The 21,160-nt window shown below is 47.7% G+C and overlaps 2 pseudogenes across 1 annotated transcript in view; both read right to left on the bottom strand.

Moving 5' to 3' along the window:
• MIPEPP3 (mitochondrial intermediate peptidase pseudogene 3) overlaps positions 1-21,160 on the bottom strand; it is a 94,799-nt pseudogene that overhangs the window by 23,760 nt on the left and 49,879 nt on the right. The window contains exon 3 of the transcript NR_046461.1: positions 17,885-18,016. The product of NR_046461.1 is annotated as a mitochondrial intermediate peptidase pseudogene 3, transcript variant 2 (transcript). The remainder of the gene's footprint in view (positions 1-17,884; positions 18,017-21,160) is intronic.
• Positions 9,853-10,788, bottom strand: GAPDHP52 (glyceraldehyde 3 phosphate dehydrogenase pseudogene 52; annotated as a pseudogene).

The raw sequence follows: 21,160 nt of genomic DNA, 5'->3' as shown, positions 1-21,160 counted from the left end.
TTTCACCATATTGCCCAGGCTGGTCTCGAACTCCTGGGCTCAAGTGATCTGCCCACCTTAGCCTCCCCAAAGTGTTAGGATTACAGGCGTGAGCCACCACGCCCAACCTTCAACATTTAGATTGAAGGGGAACGTGCAGATTTGTTACATAGGTACATTGTGTTGGTCCTGAGGTTTGGGGTACAGTTGATCCCATTGCCCAGGTAGTGAGCATAGTACTTGATAGACCTACTGTCTACTGTTGCCATCTTTATGTCCATGTTTACCCAATAAACATTGCTTTTATTTTTTATTTTTTTGAGAGGGGTCTCAGTCTGGTGCCCAGGCTGGAGTGCAGTGGCACAAACATAGCTCACTGCAGCCTCAACCTCCTGGGCTCAAGCAATCCTCCCACTACACCTTCCTGTGTAGCTAGGACCACAGATGGGCATCACCATGCCCAGCTCATTTTTTTTCTGTAGAAACAGGGGTCTCACTTTGTTGCCCAGGCTGGTCTTGAACTCCTGAGCTCAATCTTCATACCTTGGCCTTCCAAAGTGTGGGGATTACAGGTGTGAGCCACCATGCCCAGCCCCAAACATTGCTTCTAGAAATGAAATTTGTAATCTACCTCTGTAGTATAACATATCTGTACTTTGCCCATTGGGAAGTGTTCTGAACCAAAATGTCCATATTCGGATTATAGCCATTATCCCCAATGTGCACTTCATTCTACAAACAGCTGTGTGTAGAGTGGATATATTAAGTCCATATTTTAATATCTAGTACTAGGTATTTTGAAGTGAAGATGTTTGTGACAAATTTTTAAAAATGAGATGGTGAACTGGAGTTGGCCCACAGGCCATAGTTAAGCAACCCCTATGTTAGCAGCTCCATGCATTCCACACCAGTCTCTATAGTAGCAAACAGGAAGCCCTGCTCCTCCCCCACAAAAAGTGACATTTTTGACACATTTTTGGGTTGTTAAATTCAAAACCCAATGTCCTTTGGCAGCATTTGTAAAGGAGGAAGGACTCTCTCCAACTGATGGTTTTTTTTTTTTTTTTTTTTTTGAGACGGAGTCTCGCTCTTTCACCCAGGCTGGAGTGCAGTGGCGTGATCTCGGCTCACTGCAAGCTCCGCCTCCCAGGTTCATGCCATTCTCCTGCCTCAGCCTCCTGAGTAGCTGGGACTACAGGTACCCGTCACCACAGCACCTGGCTAATTTTTTTTTTTGTATTTTTAGTAGAGACGGGGTTTCACCATGTTAACCAGGATGGTCTTGATCTCCTGACCTCATGATCCGCCTGCCTCGGCCTCCCAAAGTGCTGGGATTACAGGCGTGAGCCACTGCACCAGGCCAACTGATGTTCTTAAGCCATCTCTTTGAGCTGTAACTCATTAATGAACGCTTTACTGGAGAAATCAGAAAAGCATAAAAGGAATGGTTCTATTTGTTTTTAGAAAACACTCCAGATTATACTGTAGTTCCACTTAACACAGCTGTGTTGCTAGTGGATGAAATTAAGTCCCTTGTTTTGAAACACCTTAGGCTTCTGGGTGTTCGGAGGTGATGACACATGATAAAGTACAGCTAGTAGAATAATACATGTTATAAATATCTCTAATTATTTTAACAAATGAAATACTATTTTGTAGGTGGGATTGTTCATTCAGTACTTATTCCTGGGTTTGTGAGTGGGAGGGAGAGGCAGCACTAGGGTAGGTTTCTACAGATGTGTCTTTTTTTTTTTCTCTTTCTTTTTTTCGTTTGAGATGGAGTCTCACTCTGTTGCCCAGGCTGGAGTGCAGTGGCGCAATCTTGGCTCACTGAGACCTTCACCTACCGGATTCAAGCAATTCTTCTGCATCAGCCTCCCGTGTAGCTGGGATTACAGGCATGCACCACCATGCCCGGCTAATTTTTTGTATTTTTAATAGAGACAGGGTCTCACCATGTTAGCCAGCCTGGTCTCAAACTCCTGACCTCAGGTGATCAGCCCACCTGGGCCTCCCAAAGTGCTGGTGAGCCCCTGCGCCCAGCCAGATGTGTCTTTTTAGATGACAGGTGCAGAGTGATCTGTGCCTGTATTTTATATGGCTCTGGCTGTGTACACACTCTTTTTTGAGACAGAGTCTCACTCTGTCACCCATGCTGGAGTGCAGCAGCACAATCACAGCTCACTGCAGCCTCCACCTCCTAGGCTCAAGCAATCCTCCCACCTCAGCCTCCTGAGTAGCTGGGGCCACAGGTGCACACCATCAGGCCCAGATAATTTTTTGTATTTTTTGTAGAGAAGGGGTTCCACCATGTTGCCCTCACTGGCCTTGAACTCCCGGGCTTAAGCGATCTGCCTGCCTTGGCCTACCAAAGTGCTGGGATTACAGGTGTGAGCCACTGCGCCCAGCTAACACTGTCTCATTTACCATTACATTCCTAGTGACTAAAACAGTGCCAGACACATACTAGGCGGTCAATACTTTCTGAATGAATAGTGTAATTCCCTATATATGAACAATCACTATGTATATATGGAAACCTGGGAGGATGTATACCAAAATATCAACAGTAGTGTTTTCTGGTTGGTAGACATTAGGGTAATTTTACTTTCTTTTTTTGTTTAAATTTGCTACAACAACTACATATTATCTTTGTAAACAAGGTAGGGAAAGTTTATTCACTAATTCCTTCTCAGAGTATGATTATGGTGGCATAAATTGATGCAGTATTACAGGCACAAAGCCACTTCAGCAAACCTTTTTTATAAGGGCCCTAATACATTCATGAGGGAAGAGTCCTCATGACTTAATAACTTTCCAAAAGGCCCCGCCGCTTAATACTACCACAGTGGGGATTAAGGTTCAACACGAATTTTGGAGGGGCCACCATCATTCAAACCACATAGGTGGTATCAGAGAAGACTACGTGGAAAATGGGAATTTTTATCACCATCCAGCGATAATGAGGCCTCACACCTCCCATGGTGACATTAGAGACCACATGGGGAGCAGTAATGAGGCACCCCTCCCCCGCCCAGCAGAAGTGTTGTCAGTGGAAGCCAACTGGGGGGTCCCAAAATACCACTGCTACCAACAGTAATGAGATACTCCTCCTACCTACTGGAGTATCAAAGGAAGGCAAAGGGGGAACTTTCAAACACACACCGTAGAAATGAGATATGTGTGTGGTGAGTTCAGTTCACATGGCTGTGAGTGTTTAGTGGGTCTGGGGTTAGTCGAGGGAGGAGGCAGACAGAGGGGAAGGAAGGTGCAGCACAGAGGTAGAAAGAGGCCAGAGGTGTTCAGATCTGCAGGTGGCTCCTGGGGCGGAAGATAAAATGGGCCTGGAGGGGCAGGTCAGGGCTCTGTTAGGTAGGCCTCCGTGACAGGCTCATGAGTGGAAATTTCACCCTGAGAGGAGACCGCAGACAGATTTTAGGCAAGAGCCTGACATCAGAGAGACAGAAAGGTGTCATGTGGGGAAAAGTGCAGGGAGGAAATGCTGCTGGCCTGAGGCCACACAGGCAGTGGTTGGAACTCAGGATGTCATGAGACCCAAAGCAAGCCAGGCCTGGTGGGGCTGAGAGGTGGGCATGGGTCTGAGATGTGTTGTAGAAGGCAGAGTGTGCAGGGTTTTGTGCTGAGAGACGGGGGAGGTACTGAGGTCAATATCTGACGTTTTAAGCTCCAGGAAACTGTGAAACATTAAGATAGTGTGATGGACAATTTAACATGTCATCTTGGCTGGGCCACTGGGTGCCCACGTATTGGGTCAAACATTATTCCGGACATGTCTGTGAGGGAAGTTTTGGATGAGGTTAACATTGGTTTATCATCCCAAAAATGTATTATCGTGGATATGACTTATGTTTTAAATATGTGAGCATTATTGTGCTTTCTTGGACATCCACTGCCTAGGGCAGACCTCTGCCCTGATGGGTGTTCAGGCACTGAACTACCCATGTCTTTACTTTTCTCTATTCATTCATGATACTTTGACATCTGGGGCATTGCTGACTCTGGGGGGACTGCCCCACCTTCCCTATCAGGCTCTCACACGAGGGCTACTATCCATCCACCTGCTTTAGTCACCCCAGGGCCATTGCCAGACATTAGGGATAGTCATCTGCCCCAGAGCCCTGAAATTAAACTAGACAATCCTAAGCCTGTGTGCTCCGCTCACCCACTCCTCCCGTGGAAACCATAAAAAGGCTCCAGCCCACAGTTCCTCCGTCTCCCTCTGTTCCTGACTGGCCCAGTGTCTCCTATGAGGCCCCGTGTGCTGTGCTGGGCCTCCTGTTTCTAGGAATGTATGAGCAGAATAAGCTTCTTCTTCATGAGAGTCATTTTTGTGTCTGTGTGCCTTATCATCCTTAATTAAAACAGATCCTGGGGACCCTTAAAACACAGGTAAGCACTTGCTCATCCATTCTTCAGGAGGCTAAGTCTGGATCATCCGCCTCTGTCTCTTCTCAAACCCTTTCAGGGCGTAGCCTGGGGCTGGGGTTGCAATAAGAGCTCAACGAACGTGGCTGGCTGAGTTCTCCTGTGCTGTCCACCAGGCCTCCCCATCGGGTCTGTGCCTCCCATGGGGCTGTCTGTGTGTGTGTCTGATGTGGGGTGCCAGCAGCACAGACACACCAGTGTGTTGTGTTTCCCTCAGAGGCAGCCTCGGGGCTCAGCCTGCTAAGGGTGAGGACAAGGAGGTGCTGGGTGGTGACGTCTTAGACTTCATCTGAGCCTTCAGTGAATCAATCTTTTTGCTAGTGGAGGGTCTTGCTTCACTGTGGATGGCTGCTAACTGATCAGGGTAGTGGTTGCCAAAGGTGGGGGCGGCTGTGGCAATTTCTTAAAATAAGACAACAATGAAGTTTGCCTTGGCAATTGACTCTTCCTTTCGCGAAAGATGTCTCTGTAGCACGTGATGCTGTTTGATAGCATTTCACCCACAGTAGAATTTCTTTCCAAATTAGAGTCCATCCTCTCAAGCCCTGCCACTGCTTTATCAACTGAGTCGACGTAACATTCTAAATCCTTTGTTGTCATTTCAACATGTTCATGGCATCTTCACCAGGAGTAGATTCCGTCTCAAGAAACCACTTTCTTTGCCCATCCATATAAAGCAACTTCTCACCTATTTAAACTTCATCATGAGATTGCAGCAATTCAGTCACATCTTTGGGCTCCACTTTTAATTATAGTTCTCTTGCTATTTCCACCACATCTGCAGTGACTTCCTATGGTAAATTGACCAAAGTCTCAATTGAGCTTTTCGAAGGCATCCAGGGTTGGAATCGACTTCTTCCGAACTCCTGTTAATGTTGGCATTTGACCTCCTCCCATGAATCATGAATGTTCTTAATGGCACCTGGAATAGTGAATTATTTTCAGAAGGTTTTAATTTCTTTTGTCCAGATCCATCAGAGGATTCACTATCTGTGGAAGCTATAGCCTTACAAAATGTATTTTTTAAATAATAAGAATTGAAAGTCAAAATGACTCCTTGATTCCTGGGCTGCAGAATGGATGTTGTGCTAACAGACATGGAAACATTCATCTTCTTGTACATCTCTATCAGAGCTCTTGGGTGACCTGGTACTCAATGAGCAGTCACATTTTCAAAAAATCTTTTTTTTTCTGAGCAGAAGGTCTCAACAGTGGGTTGAAAATATTCAGTAAGTCATGATGTAAGCAGATGTACTGACACCCAAGGTTTGTTGTTCCATTTATAAAGCACAGACAGAGTAGATTTAGCATAAGTTTAAGTGCTTTAGGATTTTTGAATGGTACATGAGGACTGGCTTCAACTTCAAGTCACCAGCTGCATTAGCCCCTGACAAGAGAGTCAGCTTGTCCTTTGAAGCTCTGAAGCCAGGCATTGACTTCTCCTTTCTAGCTATGAAAGTCTTAGGTGGCATTTTCTTCCAGTAGAAGGCTCTTTCATCTACATGAAAAATCTGTTGTTTAGTGTAGTGACCTTCATCGATGATCTTAGCAAGATCTGGAGCACTTGCCACCTCATCTTGCACTTGATGTTACGGAGATGGCTTCTTTCCTTAAACCTTATGAACCAACCTCTACTAGGTTCCAACTTCACTTCTGCAGCTTCCTCACCTCTCTCAGCCTTAATAGAACCAAAGAGATAGGGTCTTGCTCTGGATTAGGCTTTGGCTTAAGGGAACATTGCGGTTGGTTTGCTCTTCTATCCACACCACGCACACTTTCTCCATATCAGCAATAAGGCTGTTTCGCTTTCTTATCATACGTGTGTTCACTGCAGTAGCACTTTTAATTTTTTTCAAGAAATTTTTCTTTGCTTTCACAGCCTGGCTGTTTGGCACAAGAGGGCTAGGTTTCAGGCTGTCTTGGCTTTCAACATGCCTTCCTCACTAAGCTTAATCATTTCTAGCTTTTGATTAAAGTTGAGAGACATACCACTTTTCTTTCACTTGAATATTTAGAGGCCATGGTAGGGTTATTAATTGGCCTAATTTCAATATTGTTGTGTCTTAGGGAATAAGGAAGCTTAAAGAAAGAGAGAGAGAGAGAGAGAGAACAGCCTCAGTCGAGCAGTCAGAACACACACAACATTAATTGATTAATTCATTGTCTTATGTGGGTGTGGCTTATCATGCCCAAAAACAATTACAGTAGTAACACCAAAGATCACTGATTACAGATGAGTATAGCATATATAATAACAATGAAAAAGGTTGAAATATTGCAAAAAACTACCAAAATGTGACAGAGACAGGAAGTGAGCACCTGTAGACTTGCTCGATGCCATGTTGCCATAAACCTTCAGTTTGTAAAAAATGCAATCTCTGCAAAGCACAATAAAGCCAAGTGCAATTAAAATCAGCTATGCCTGTATAAAAAGTGCCCGGCATATGGGAGATACCCCATGTGTGGTACTTATTAATATTGGTAGTTTTCATGTGCTGCCCCCAGGAATACATAGATAGATTAACTCAAATGAACTCTAAGGAAACTTACGTTAAGTCTTATGTCTCTTTCCTCCAGATGTCATGGGAACAGACATGTCTTGGAGAGGTGCACCCTGGGATCTGTCCAGGATCAGAAACTCTTGGAGCCAGCCCAGCCAGAGGTACTGCCCAAGGACTTGTTCTCCAAAGCTTCCAGTCATGAAAGTGCTCAGCCCAAGGTGGGTGCCAGGGTGACTGTGCCCCAGGGATGGCTGGGCTTCTTTCTCTATCTGGTTCAGCCCAAGCCACTTTAGGCAACTGTGGATTCACAGCAGTACCTCTAACTCTTCCCACCCCATGGAGACCTGGGCATGCATGAAAGGCTAGGAGGACAGCATAGAATTTGGCCACTGGCCCCTACGGCCATGGGTGGTGGTTGGTGACTGAAGAAAGAGATGAAGGCTTGTCAGGGAGGTGCTTGAACCCTGTCTGGTAGCCCGCAGAACCGAGATCAGAGGCTGTGGAGGCACTGCTGCCTCCTGGGCTCTAAATGAGCAAATGTTTGGGAACGACGGTGCCAGAACAAAGCTGCCTGCGCTCCTGTCCTGCCCTTCTCAGCTCAAGTCACACACGTGCTAAGAGGCTTTTGGCTCCAAGTGGCTGGTAGACATTGGTTGACAGATTTGGGATGTGATAAGAGGCTGTTGATTTCATTCGTTTGTGCAATGTCGGAGATAAATTTTAACAGTTAAAACGGGGAAAGAAAAAAAAAAGCCCTAGAACTTTGCCAGCATCACAACTCTGCCTGTTTCTTCTAACGGATTTCTTGAAACTGTCAACTGCCTGAGCTGGAGAAGCCCACTTATAAGGAACGTTGTCATGTGTCTCCAGGGGAGCCAGGACCGTCCGTGGGGTTGGCTGGCCCTTCACAATGTGACCCCACTTCCATGGGCTCCCTCTTTCCTCCTGCACAGCCCTGGGGTGCAGGGCTCCCTCTGGAAGGCAACAGCTTCCAGCGACTCAAAGGCCTGCAGGGTCGTGTGATCCCAGCATCACAGGTCTACCCATAGAACCAGCAATTTTATCAGTAGTATTAATTATCCTCTGCAAAAAGAGACACTGAAAACAAAGTTCCCTTTCTCAAAGAACTCTGATGAGAAATTAAAAAATATATTTGACCTTGGAGGATTCGTTGTTTTGGAAGCCACAGAGACCTGCCTCATGCAACTCAAAAGAAGGATTACATCTGTGATGTGTGGGACGGGCACGAGGGGCCTCTACAACCAATCTACCCTGTGTCTTGACTTCTCTGAGAGTTGCATTGGGTTCAACAGTGATTCCATTTCCTCCCAAAGGGCCACTGGGAGATAAGCAGCATCGAGCTTATATCCAAAAAGCTCTATGTAGTTTCAAGGTGTTTCCAAAGCACCTCCTCTGATCCTCATACCCTCCAGGGTGGCAGGCAACACAGGGCATTTGCGTTTGCTCTGAGATGAAGATACGACCATAGGGTTGTACCCAGAAGTTCTCATGACTGGACATCCAGCTCTTTGCACCACACTCCGAAGGGAGAAGTGATCCAGGTTGCCCTTCTGAGAGTGAATATCACTTCCAGCACAAGCGGCAGCCTGCATCCCAGCCAGCCCTGCTGATGCCTCCAAGGATGTGAGTGAGAGTTGCCCACATCATGGGAACCCTTTGCTGGTCTGCAAAATATCCCAGAGGTTGTTCCTTTGAACCCTGTGTGGGGAGAGCTTTGACTTAAATGTGTCATGCATAGAATGAACCCCTGCAGGAGTGTGTCACCCCTTGGCTTCCCAGGAAGACCACCCGCTTTTCTGACACTGTCCCTGGAATGACCAATTGTGGCCTTTTTACAAACTCTTCAGGCTCGAGAAGTGCACATCCTCATTTACAAGGGACATGTGGAAAGTCTTGAAATTGGATCCGAAAAGTGTGGTTTCTCCAAGAACTAAAGCTCCCGAAGCAGTTTTGAGAAGAGAGGGACATAGGCTAGCATGGATTCTTTTCCTTTGCTCTTAGGATGTGTGTGATCCCGAAGAGTTTGCCGGCAGGCTATGGGAACTCCATCCCCACACACTCAGCCACTACCTCAGGTGGCAGGGGCCCTGGCTAGGGTTTGGCTGTAATATTCAGGACTGACTGAGCATCCTGCACAGTGGTGAAGGGAGGGGTCCTCTGGAGACCATGCCTCTCCTACAGTAAGCCCCACCCCCAGGTGGGAGGGATGTGCCAGTGCCTTCTCACCCCCACGTGCCTGCATGTTGCCCTTCGTTCTGCTGTTTCCTAATCACACCTGCTCTCAGGAACAGGTGCAACACAGTCCCACTAGGTGCATAGCTACTCACACTGTGACACGGACACTCCCAGGAACACCAGCCCCATAAAGCCTCGGAGGAGAGGGCTAGAATTCTAGGCAACCTTGAGCTAGGGAGGGCTCCTTTGAACTGGGAGATTCTCAATGTCTTTGGCGTCTTATTCTTATCAAAAGTCCCTCTGCAGAAGCCTCGTCTTGGGGATTGGCCAGAGGGAAAAGTTTATGGCAGCACTTGCATCAAAAGACACCAGAGCATCACATCAACCAACGACCAACTGTAATGATTTCACTTTTATCAGTATACACATGATTAGAAATTTTGGAAACTGGACCACTATTCTGTTCTACTAACCAAACACTCAATACCATGAATCATGTGAGAGGACTGTTGCCCATGTTAGGTTATGTGACCTTTTTCTTTTGGCTGGGGATGGCATACTTCATTGATGGTGCATGACAAGCTGGAGCTGCCTAAGCCCCTGTCCTTCCTCCAGGAGTCTGGAATGGAAACTGACTTTGGGGAGCCTGAGTGGGGCAATGACTCCCCAGCAGCTGGGGGTTCACTCTTCCTCTCATGCTCTTGATGGAGCTGGTGGTCTGGGGGTCTTACTCCTTGGAGGCCGTGTGGACCATAAGGTCCACCACCCTGTTGCTGCTGCCAAATTCATCCCAGGAAAGGAGCCTGACAAAGTGGCCATTGAAGGTAATGCCAGTCGTGGCATTGAAGGTAGAAGAGTGCAGGTGCCACTCTTAAAGTCAGAGGAGACAACTTGGTCCTCAGTGTAGATCAGAATGCCCTTGAGGGGGCCCTCCGATACCTGCTTCAGCATCTTCTCATGCCATCATATTTGGCAGCTTTCTGCAGATGGCAGATGAGAGCCACAACCAACATATTATGGGTGGGAACACAGAAGGCCATACCTGTGAGCCTCTTATCTGGCTCAGGGATGACCTTGCCCATAGCCTCGGCCACACTAGTAGATACAGGGATGATGTTCTGCAGCAGTCACGCCAAAGTTTCTCCAACAGTCTTCTGGGTGGCAGTAGTGGCATGGACTGTAGTCATAGATGACCTTGGCCAAGGGTGCCAAACGTTGATAGTGCAGGAGGCACTGCTGACAATCTCGAGAAGATAATTCATACTTCTCATGGTTCACACCCACCACAAACATGGATCTGCACAAGAGCACAAGGGGCAAAGATGACGACAGTTTTGGCTACTTCAAGTGAGCCCCAGTCTTCTCCGTAGTGCTGAAGACGCCAGTGGGCTCTGCACCATATTCAGCACCAGTGTTGCCTCATTTGATGTTGGCGAGATCTTGCTCTTGGAGGATGGAGATGGGCTTCCCTTTGATTACAAGCTTCCTGTTCTCTTTCCTTGACTGTGCCATTGGACTTGTCATGAAATATACTGGAACATGTAGACCATGGAGTTGAGGCCAGTGAAGAGATCATTGATGATGACAGTGTCCATTTTGCCGAGTTGAAAGCTGCCCTGGTGACCAGGTATCCAATATGGCCAAATCCATTGACTCAGACTCTCACCATTGTATCCTGGATGAGGCTGACACTGCATGAGCAGATGGAGCTGTTTGTCGAACGAGGAAGAGAAGAGAGCCACAGCTTTTTTCTTTTAAAAACAGACTTCATTTTCTGAGCAGTTCTAGATTCACAGAAAAATTGAGCAGAGTACAGAGATATCCCAGGTACCTTCCCCCCTACACATGCACAGCTCCCCTCATTATCAACATCCCCCACCAGACTGGCATGTTTGTTTCAATTAATGAACCAACATTGACACATCTCTATCACCCAGAGTCCATGGTTTACCTTAGGGTTCACTCTCTGTGTTGGACATTTTATGGGTTTTGACAAATGCATTATGACATGCATCCATCATTATAATATCAGAGTAGTCTCACTGCCCTACAAATCCTCTGTACCCTACCAGTTCATCCCTTCCTCCCGCTCCCCCCTTGGCAACCACTGATCTTGTTATACTCTTCATAGTTTCACCTTTTCCAGAATGTCATACAGTTGGAATCATACAGTATGCAGCCTTCTCAGATTGGCTTCTTTCACTCAGTAATATGCATTTAAGTTTCCCCCATGCCTTTTCATGGCTTCGCAGCTCAATTCTCTTTGGCGCTAAGTAATACGCCATTGTCTGCATGTACCCCAGTTTATCCCCTCACCTACTGAAGGATATCTTGGTTGTTTCCAACTTTTAGCAAATACGGATAAAGTGGCTCTAAACATCCGTGTGCAGGTTTTTGTGTGGAAAAGGTTTTCAACTCCTTTCATAAATAAGGGGCGTGGCTGCTGGAAGTTAACGCAACTTTTACTTTGCCTTGATGGCTCTCAAGCGGGGCTGCCCATTATAACCACCTGGTGAGCATTTAACAAATCCCTGTACCCACCCCCACCCAGGCCACTTTAAACCAGACTCGGAGATGGGTGGGGCTTGAACAAAGTGTTAACCAACCCATTGGGAGGTCCTGAAGTGCAGCCGGTGTTGAGGATCACCAATTCAGAGGCTGACACTAGATTCCCGAGTTTCTGCAGATTTCTAGTCAGCTTCTCTACCAAGAGATATTTAGACATTGAGAGCAATAAGAAAATGGTTAAATGACCAAGTATTTATGTTTTATAAAACATTTTTTAAAAAATTTATATATATGTGTGTATATGTGTGTGTGTGTGTATATATATGTAGAGAGAGAGAGAGAGAGAGAGACTCACTCTGTTGACCAGGCTAGAGTACAGTGGTGTGATCATGGCTCACTGCAGCCCTGAACCCAAGGGCCCAAGTGATCAAGTGATTCTCCTGACTCAGCCTCTCAAGTAGCTGGAACTACAGGCACATGCCATCACGCACAGCTTTTTTTTTTTGAGACTGAGTCTTGCTCTGTTGCCCAGGCTGGAGTGCAGTGGTGCAATCTCAACTCACTGCAACCTCCACCTCCCAGGTTCAAGCAATTCTCCTGGCTCAGCCTCCTGAGTAGCTAGGATTACAGGCTTGCGCCACCCTGACCAGTTAATTTTTTTTTTTTTTTTGTATTTTTAGTAGATATGGGGTTTCACCATGCTGGCCAGGCTGGTCTCAAGCTCCTGACCTCGTGATCCTCCTGCCTCAGCCTCCCAAAGTGCTGGGATTACAGACGCCCTGCTAATTTTTAAAACTTTTTTGTAGAAACGGGGTCTCCCTATGTTGCCTAGGCTGGTCTCAAACTCTTGGGCTCAAGTGACCCTCCTGCCTCGGGCTCCCAGAGCGCTGAGATTTCAGGTGTGAGCCACTGTGCCTGGCCTATGAAACATTTCTATTTTCATTTCTAGAAAAATCAATGTCATTTTTCTAGAAAGTTTCTATATGAAATTCACATCTGCCCCTTTTCACCCCCTTTGACTGACAACAGGCCCCAGAAGGTCCCCTTTTCATGAATTTCAGCATCCCTGGGCCCAGCCAGGCCACCATGGGCATTCCAATCAATTCCAACTTCTCCCAGCTCCCAGGGGCAACAGTTCTTGGTGTGAGGAACATGGACTTGCCCTTCCCTCTGCACCAGCTTGACCTGGCCAGTTCCTTGTGGCTAACAGAGTGGACATCTGTCACTGTCTGCCTGGGGCAGGGTGAAGACCAGGAGATGTCTGAGGTAGAGGGGTCCTTGGTGGGGGGTGGGGGTGGGGTCTAGGCCAGTCATCTATGTGTTTATGTTAAAGCATTTACATATTTATTTATTTATTTATTTATTTATATATTTTTTGAGACTGAGTCTCGCCCTGTTGCCCAGGCTGGAGTGCAGTGGTGCAATCTCGGCTCACTGCAACCTCCGCCTCCTGGGTTCAAGTAATTCTCCTGCCTCAGCCTCCTGAGTAGCTGGGATTACAGGCACCTGCCACCACGCCCGGCTAATTTTTTAAATCTTTAGTAGAGACGGGGTTTCACCATGTTGGCCAGGCTGGTCTCGAACTCCTGACCTCGTGATCTGCCCATCTTGGCCTTCCAAAGTGCTGGGATTACAGGCATGAGCCACCGAGCCCAGCCCCAGAACGTCCTTTTTAAACACATTGAACAGATATAAACTGAGTAGCTCTCCTTGGATAGTGGGCTGGAGGGTCAGGCCCCCCATGCAACATCCCCTGCTTGACGACCTGGTGGCTCAGACACTTTTAAGAAACTTGTAGAGTCCCAAAGGAGACATGTTGAGCCTTATTTTCCACAGTGACATGGGGGTAGGAGTGGGCAGCAATCCAAGAAGAAATCCCCTCATTTCACAAGATCTGTTGGGGCCAGCCTTTCAGTCTTTAGATGTGTCTGTGTGCGAGGCACTGTAGCTGCTCTCCAAATGGTGTCAAGTGTCTCCCTACTCTCCTCCACCTTGTTCCTCTCACCTGTGCTCTGTCCTTGCCCTCCCTGCTCTCTCCTTCCCCTCCCCTCCCCTCCTTCCACCTTCCCTCCTCCCCCTCCCCAGGCTAGCTCTGAAGGACAGATGTCTTCCCCCGAGAGGCAGCTGCTCTCAGATGAGGAGCTAACCTACGAATGCATCAGATGTCCCAATGTTAGGGGAAATCATCTTCCTTGAAAGTCAGAGCCTAAGCATTTGGGCTCTCCCAGGCTTCCCTCTGCCCGAGTGGAGCCTGGAGCCACTGAATTCAGATCCAAGTGAAAAGCAAGTCCCAGGGCAGCCGAGCAGGCAACTTGTAAGCAAACGAGTGTGGGGCTCGGAGTGGGAGAGAGGAGGAAGTCTGAGAGTGAAAAAGGAGTCTGTTGCTCTTCCATTTCTTCCTCCTCTCCTTCTACTTTCTCTGTTGCTTTCTCTGCCTTTGTTGCTTTGACTCTCCAGAAAGTCTCCCTGGAGCTGGAAAGTGGCATTACTGAAACATTCCAGAAACGAGCTGAAGTCACTCAAGGAAGGCCTTGGGAACTAGGGTTTGGCCCGGTGGGCAGCGCATGGTAGACATTCACACGCGCTCCAGCACTGAACACTGCGACCTGGCAGGTAAGTACTCAATCTTTATGATGGCGGTAATGAAGCCCGGTGACACCTCCAGTGCACGCTTCCTTTCTCTGCCCCTGGAACATCGCTGACGTGCGTGTGATGCAGAATCTTTGAAGCGGTAATTATGAAATGTTTGGCACTGGGCTCTCTGCTCTGACCCAGGAAGAGGTGTTAGAGGAATTCTGTGAAAGGTTTGCAGAGGTCATTGACCCAGGATGCTGCTGGAACCCCAAGCAGGAGGGGAGGTCCCAGGAATAGCACATCACCTGTCCTGCATAAAGGGAACCACTGGGAGCCCGCACCAGAAAACACCATGCGCTTCTTACTCCTGCTGCAAGGGAAGAGGAGAGACCCGGAGAAGGTTGCAACAAGAGCAGCTGAGATGACCACGATTAAGGAGATGTGGCTGCAGAGGTCAGACTCCAAAAGGACTCTCAAAGGTGAGTGGCTGGGGGTTGTTAGGGCTTATTCATGAGGATGCCTACCACAAAGAGCTTTAAAATAGGCAGCAACTCCAAAAAGTCAACAATGAAAGCACAAACGTCCCAATTAAAAAGCAGAGAGAGGACTTGAGCAGACATTCTTCAATGGAGACAGCCATCAAACACATGAAAAGGGGCTTAACCTCGATAATCATTAAGAAAATGCAAATCAAAACTACAATGAGATCCCACCTCACACCCGTTAGAATGGCCATAGCTAAAAATAAACAGAAAATAGCAAGTACTGAAGACATGGAGAAACTGGAACCCTCATGCACAGTCAGTGGGAATGTAAAATGGTGCAACCACTGTGGAAAACAGTATTGAGGTTTCTCAAAAAAATAAACATAGAATTATCATATGATCCAGCAATCCCACCTCTGCGTATACAACCAAAGAATTGAAAGCAGGGGCTCAAACAGATATTTGTACACCTATGTGCCCGGCAGCATTACTCACAATAGCCTAAAGATGGAAGCAACCCATATGTCCACTGAAGGATGAATGAATAAACAAAATGTGGTCTATCCAGACAATGGAGTATGATTCAGCCTTAAAGAGGAAGGGAGGCTGGGCGTGGTGGCTCACGCCTGTAATCCCAGCACTTTGGGAGGCCGAGGCGGGTGGATCATGAGGTCAGGAGATCGAGACCATCCTGGCTAACATGGTGAAACCGCGTCTCTACTAAAAATATAAAAAATTAGCCGGGCATGGTGGCGGGCGCCTGTAGTTCCAGCTACTTGGGAGGCTGAGGCAGGAGAATGGATGAACCCTGGGAGGTGGAGCTTGCAGTGAGCCAAAATCGCGCCACTGCACTCCAGCCTGGGCGACAGTGTGAGACTCTGTCTCAAAAAAATAAAATAAAATAAAATAAAGAAAGAAAGAGGAAGGGAATTCTGCCACATGCTACCACATGGATGACCCTTGAGAACATTATGCTCGGTGAAACGAGCCAGGCACAAGAAGACAAATTCTCTGTGATTCCACTCACATGTGCACCTACAATTGTGAAATTCACAGACAGGGAGTGACATGGTGGTTGCCAGGGACTAGAGGGAGGGAGGAATGGGGCGTTAGTGTTAATGCATTCGGGGTTTCAGTTTGGGACAGTGAAAAAGTCCTGGAGCCGAGTGGTGGTGATGGCTGCACAACAACATGCACGTGCTTAATACCACAGAACTGTGTCCTTAAAACTGGCTAAGATGGCACATTTTATATTATGTATATTTTATTGCATGATAATATTTAAAAGATGGGCAGGGAAGGAAGTAGTGATGAGTGTGGGCAGGGGTTTGAATTTGTGTCCCAGAAACCAGAACAGGGCAGGAGACCAGGAGAGAGAACTTACAGGAGAGGCTCCCACACACGGGCCCTGCAGAGGGTCCTTCCCCCAGGCCTGTGCGTAGGTACCCAGGGGCCCAGGTGCCTTGAGGGTGGTATGAACCCCCTGCAGGCAGGGCCTGGCAGAATCAGAGCAGCAGAGGATTCCAGTAAATGTCCCCAGGGGCAGGAGGATGAGGCTGCGCTGAGGTCCCTGGCCTCATCGGTCAAGGGGTTTAGAGAAGAATGTCAGATAGCACTAGTGCCCCTGGGGCTTCTGGAGCGAGCACCGAATCTTGGATCAGCTTCCTCCACAGGATCGGCTTCCTCCACAGTCACATAGAAGGCTGGAAACGCGTCATACAGGGTCCTGAACTCTCGGGGGCAGGTTGGGGAGTCTAGGGACAGGGAACAGAGTCTCTATTGGCCACCACTGCCATGACGGGAGGACCTGGGTGGGAGGTTTCTGGAGCTCAGTGACAACCACCAAGCCAGCATGTGTGACCAGGGCTGGGTTTGAAGGAGGGGCTCAAGGCAGTAAGAGAAATGCAGCCTCAGTGGTTGAGGTCCCTCCACATTCATGCCTTTAACCAGCTTGACCCTCTCCAGCCCCTTAGCAGAGACAATGAAGCATCCCTGCTTCCCTGCCCATTGGCTGGACCTTCTGTGCTCAATCCCACCTCACTTTCTGCTCCCAGTTCCTCGTTTCAAGTGGAAATCTCACAGTTTCTAACCCTCTTGGCAGGACTTCTGTCTTCTGCTCTTAACTCTTCCTGAGACTTCATGTCAGGATTCAATCTCTCTAGTTTTGACCCCTCTGGTTCTTCCCATCCTTGAACCCACCTCGCCTGGCTCTGGCCCCTGGGTCTTCTATATGCATCTGCCTAGACCCTGTCCCCTGTGAGAGAAACTGACCATGGGATGATGGGTGTTCAGGGCTGCCTTCAGGACGTGGCTTCAAAAGGCAACCGCCCCTGAGTCCCTGCGGTGATGAGGAAGGTAAGGAATGGGGAGAAGGGGGACAACCCACCCTGCCCCAGAGCAGGCTGCTGAGGAGGTGTCGGGGAGGACTCTCCCCCTGTTATCACAGGCCCCAAGGCTTGCTGGACGGGCCTGGTGGTGAGCAGCAGCGTGGTGTGTTCGTGCTCTTGTGGGAGGTAGCAGGAAACGATCCCAGAGGCAGGGGGGAATTGCCCCGGGTCACCCACAGGCCAGCACTCAAGACCCAGCCGCAGCACTGGGCTTCAAGCCACCAGCCATCCTCTCCAGATGCTGCTCCCTCAACAGGAGAGCAGAAGGCTCCATTCCACCCCCACCATTAGTGCCTCTTCTCAGACTGAAGCTCACTAACTTCTCAGAGTGAGGCTCACTAATGTTCACTAACTGAGCCTTGAAGCACACTTAGGGGAGGCACGAAGGAGGAGCGCCAGGCTCTGAGTCCTGGGGAGAAGGTGACGCTGAGCACTGTTTCTGCACTACATGCACGTGAATCAGCCTGTCACTTCCTCTAGCTCAGGACTTGTCCCTGTCCCTGTCCCTTTTTTAAGACGGAGTTTAACTCTTTTTGCCCAGGCTGGAGTGCAATGGCGTGACCTTGGCTCACTGCAACCTCCGCCTCCTGGGTTCAAGTGATTCTCCTGCTTCAGCTTCCCGAGTAGCTGGGATTACAGGCTCCCGCCACCATGCCTGGGTTAATTTTTGTATTTTTAGTACAGATGGGGTTTCACCATGTTGGCCAGGCTGACCTCGAACTCCTGACCTCCGGTGATCCACCCACCTCAGCCTCCCAAAGTGCTGGGATTACAGAGGTGAGCCACCATGCCCGACCATCCCTGTCACCTTTAAACAGCATTGTCCACAGCTCCGTCTGCAGGGTCAGGGCATGGCCTCTCTCCGTGTTCCTGTGAAGAGCCTTCATTGGAATCATCCCGGGACATACAGCTTGAATGTGCTGTCTGGCTAGCCCCTCCACTAGGGCAGCAAGGAGAAAGAAGCTTTTTAATTTATCTTAAGTTAAAGCAACAGGAACTCAACTAAATGGCAAGGAAACAAATCCAGACAGTCTCCCACTTATGATGTTTCCATTTACAATTTTTCAACTTTATGATGATATGAAAGTGACATGCATTCAGTAGAAACCATACTTCCATACCCATACAACCATTCTGTTTTTCACTTTCAGTACAGTATTCAATAAATTACGTGAGATATTCAACACATTACTATAAAATAGGCTTTGTGTTAGATGATTTTGCCCAACCATAGGCTAATGAAAGTTTTGAGCACACTTAAGGTAGGCCAGGCTAAGCTATGATGTTGGGTAAATTAGGTGCATTAAATGCACTTTTTAATTTTAATATTTATTTATTTAGAGACAGGGTCTCACTCTGTCACCCCAGCTGGAGTGCAGTGGGTCCATCTTGGCTCACTGCAACCTCCACCTCCCAGGCTCGAGCAGTCCTCCCACCTCAGCCTCCTGAGTAGCTGGGACCACAGGCATGCTCCACTATGCCCAGCTAATTTTTGTATTTTTAGTAGAGATGGGATTTCGCTATGTTGCCCAGGCTGGTCTTGAACTCCTGAGCTCAAGTGATCTGCCTGCCTCAGCCTCCCAAAGTGCTGGGATTACAGGCATGAGCCACCATGCCTGGCTTAAATATACTTTTGGCTTACGGTGTTATCAATGAACAATGAGTTTATTGGGACATAACCCCATTGTAAGTCAAGGAACATCTGTAAATCAATTAAAAAAATGGACACCGGACCTGAATAGACATTTCTCAAGAGAAGACATACCAATAGGTGTATGAGAAAACGCTCATCATCAATCATCATGGAAATGAAAATTAAAACCACAATAAGATAGCACCTCACACCTGCTAGGATGGCTAAGGATGTGGAGAAAAGCAAACCCTTGCACATTTGTTGGGGATGTTAGTACAGCCATTATGTAAAACAATATGTAGGTTCTGCAAAAAATTAAAAATAGAACTCCTGTATGATCCAGCAATCCCACTACTGGGGATATGTCCAAAGGAAATGAAATCAGCATGTGGAAGAGATATCTGCACTCCCATGTTCACTGAACATTCTTCGCAGTAGCCAAGACAGGGAGTATCCATCAATGGATGAATGGATAAAGAAATTATGATGTATATACACAATGTAATACTATTCAGCCTCTAAAAAGAAGGAAATCCTGTCCTTTGCAACATGGATTAACCTAGAGGACATTAGGTAAGTGAAATAAGCCAGGCACTGAAAGCCAAATACAGCATGATCCCAGTTACATGGGGAATCTACACTCACAGAAACAAACTCATAGAAACAAAGAATAGGATGGTGGTTACCGGGGTCAGGCTTGAGGAGATGTTGATTAAAAGATTAAAATTTTCATTTAGACAGGAGGAAGTTCAAGACATCTATTGTACAACATGGTGACTATAGTTAGTAACAATATATTGTATACTTGAAAATTGCTAAGAGTAGATTTTAAGTGTTCTCATTGCAAAAAAAGTATGTGAGATAATGCACAGGTTAATTAGCTTGGGTCAGCCATTCTACATGTCAAAATATCAAAACACGCTGTACACACAAATATATACATTTTTGTCAATTAAAAAAAGTTATGGATTTTACTTTATCTAGAAAAAAACAAGAGATACAAGAGAACAAACCAACACCAGAAGCCACTGTGACCACTTGAGCCCACCCATGGGGGGACGGGTACTTTACATGTGTTATATCTTATCTGGCTCTCTCTCTCCAACCCTGCAGGGCAGGTGGCATCTCTACTTAACCATGAGGGAACAGAGGCTCAGCCAGCACATTGAGGCACCAGAATTCAAAAGCCCAGTATCCTCCCAGGACTCCATCAAAGCAGATGTGCAGAGGGCAGTAGGGCCTGAGCCAGAACCAACACCCCTGGGGGAGGCCCATGAGACCTTTAGGAAAATGAGACAGGCACAGGAAAGAGATGTCTAAAGCCACCATTCTGGGTTTGGGAATGTAAAGAACTTCAAATCAGATAAATGAAGACTGCAGAAGAAAGAGGAAGAAATGGAAGTTGCTCTCTGACAGGACATGAATTTGGCAAGGGGTGGATTAGGCCGAGTGCTATCTGCAGTGATGAAACGCAGCAGCTGGTGGTCATGAAATAGTTATGAATGGGGAGAGGACACTGTATTCTGCAGTGTAGCACAGGGGAAAGCGAAGTTTCAAGAATACTGTAATAGCAAAACCCTCCATTAATTATCGGAAGCAAGCTGTAATGCCAGTTCCTATGGCAACGGGGTCCCCAATGGATTTTGTACTTTTTTTAAAGCTGCTCCCATTTACTATGGTACATTGTGTTTGTTTTTTACCAGAGATTTTGTGCTTGTCCTCTGCAAATGAATTCATCCTGTCCTCACAATGGCTGGTGTGGAGACCCACAGGTGGGGCCTGGGGAAAGTTAAAGATGATGCAACTTAGAGCTAAATGCTCTGTAAGGGCATTGATGACCGCTATGAGCACCTTCACTTCTGAGGGGAAAAGGAGGGGAGGGCAGGAAAGAGGTGTGGGAGGGAATAACTAGGGTGCATGGCTAATTATAGGGCATCTATCCTAGCCCCCACATGCATGGTCTTTGCAATCCAGGCTTGCACCAGGGAAGAGTCCTTGAACCCAGCTGGGCTCTCCAACAACGTGCCTGCTGCAGCTGCAGTGGAAGCTGATAATTGCTCAGAAAGCTCAGACACAGAGTCCTCTGGGGTAAGGGTGTTGGAGAGAACAGTGGCTTGGTTCCCAGGGGAGCAGGCTGCCCCTCCCAGAGAAGCACTGCAGGCCTCCTCCACCTGTAGGCCCAATCTCTCTGCACCCCGTGCCCCATTACTTATCACTTTCCCCCCCTCAGTGTGAAGTGGGAGTTTAATTTGGTGGCCCTTTGAATGCAGGTCTTCCAGGGGAGATGTTCTGTGCTTGCCTGGCCATGGGCTGCTGTTCACAGAAACATTCTGTCCCAGGCCACAGGAGCGCCTCAGAGCCACTCCGGGGCGTGGGCGAAGCGGTCAACAGCGGCTTCCTCCATGCTGCCCTGGATGAATGACTCTGACAACTTGATGGCGGGGCAGCCTG

Source organism: Homo sapiens, chromosome 13, assembly GCF_000001405.40.
Source record: "Homo sapiens chromosome 13, GRCh38.p14 Primary Assembly".
Taxonomy (NCBI): Eukaryota; Metazoa; Chordata; class Mammalia; order Primates; family Hominidae; genus Homo; species Homo sapiens.
The sequence above is the reverse complement of the archived record's forward strand: the minus strand, read 5'-3'. Positions and strand labels throughout refer to the sequence as shown.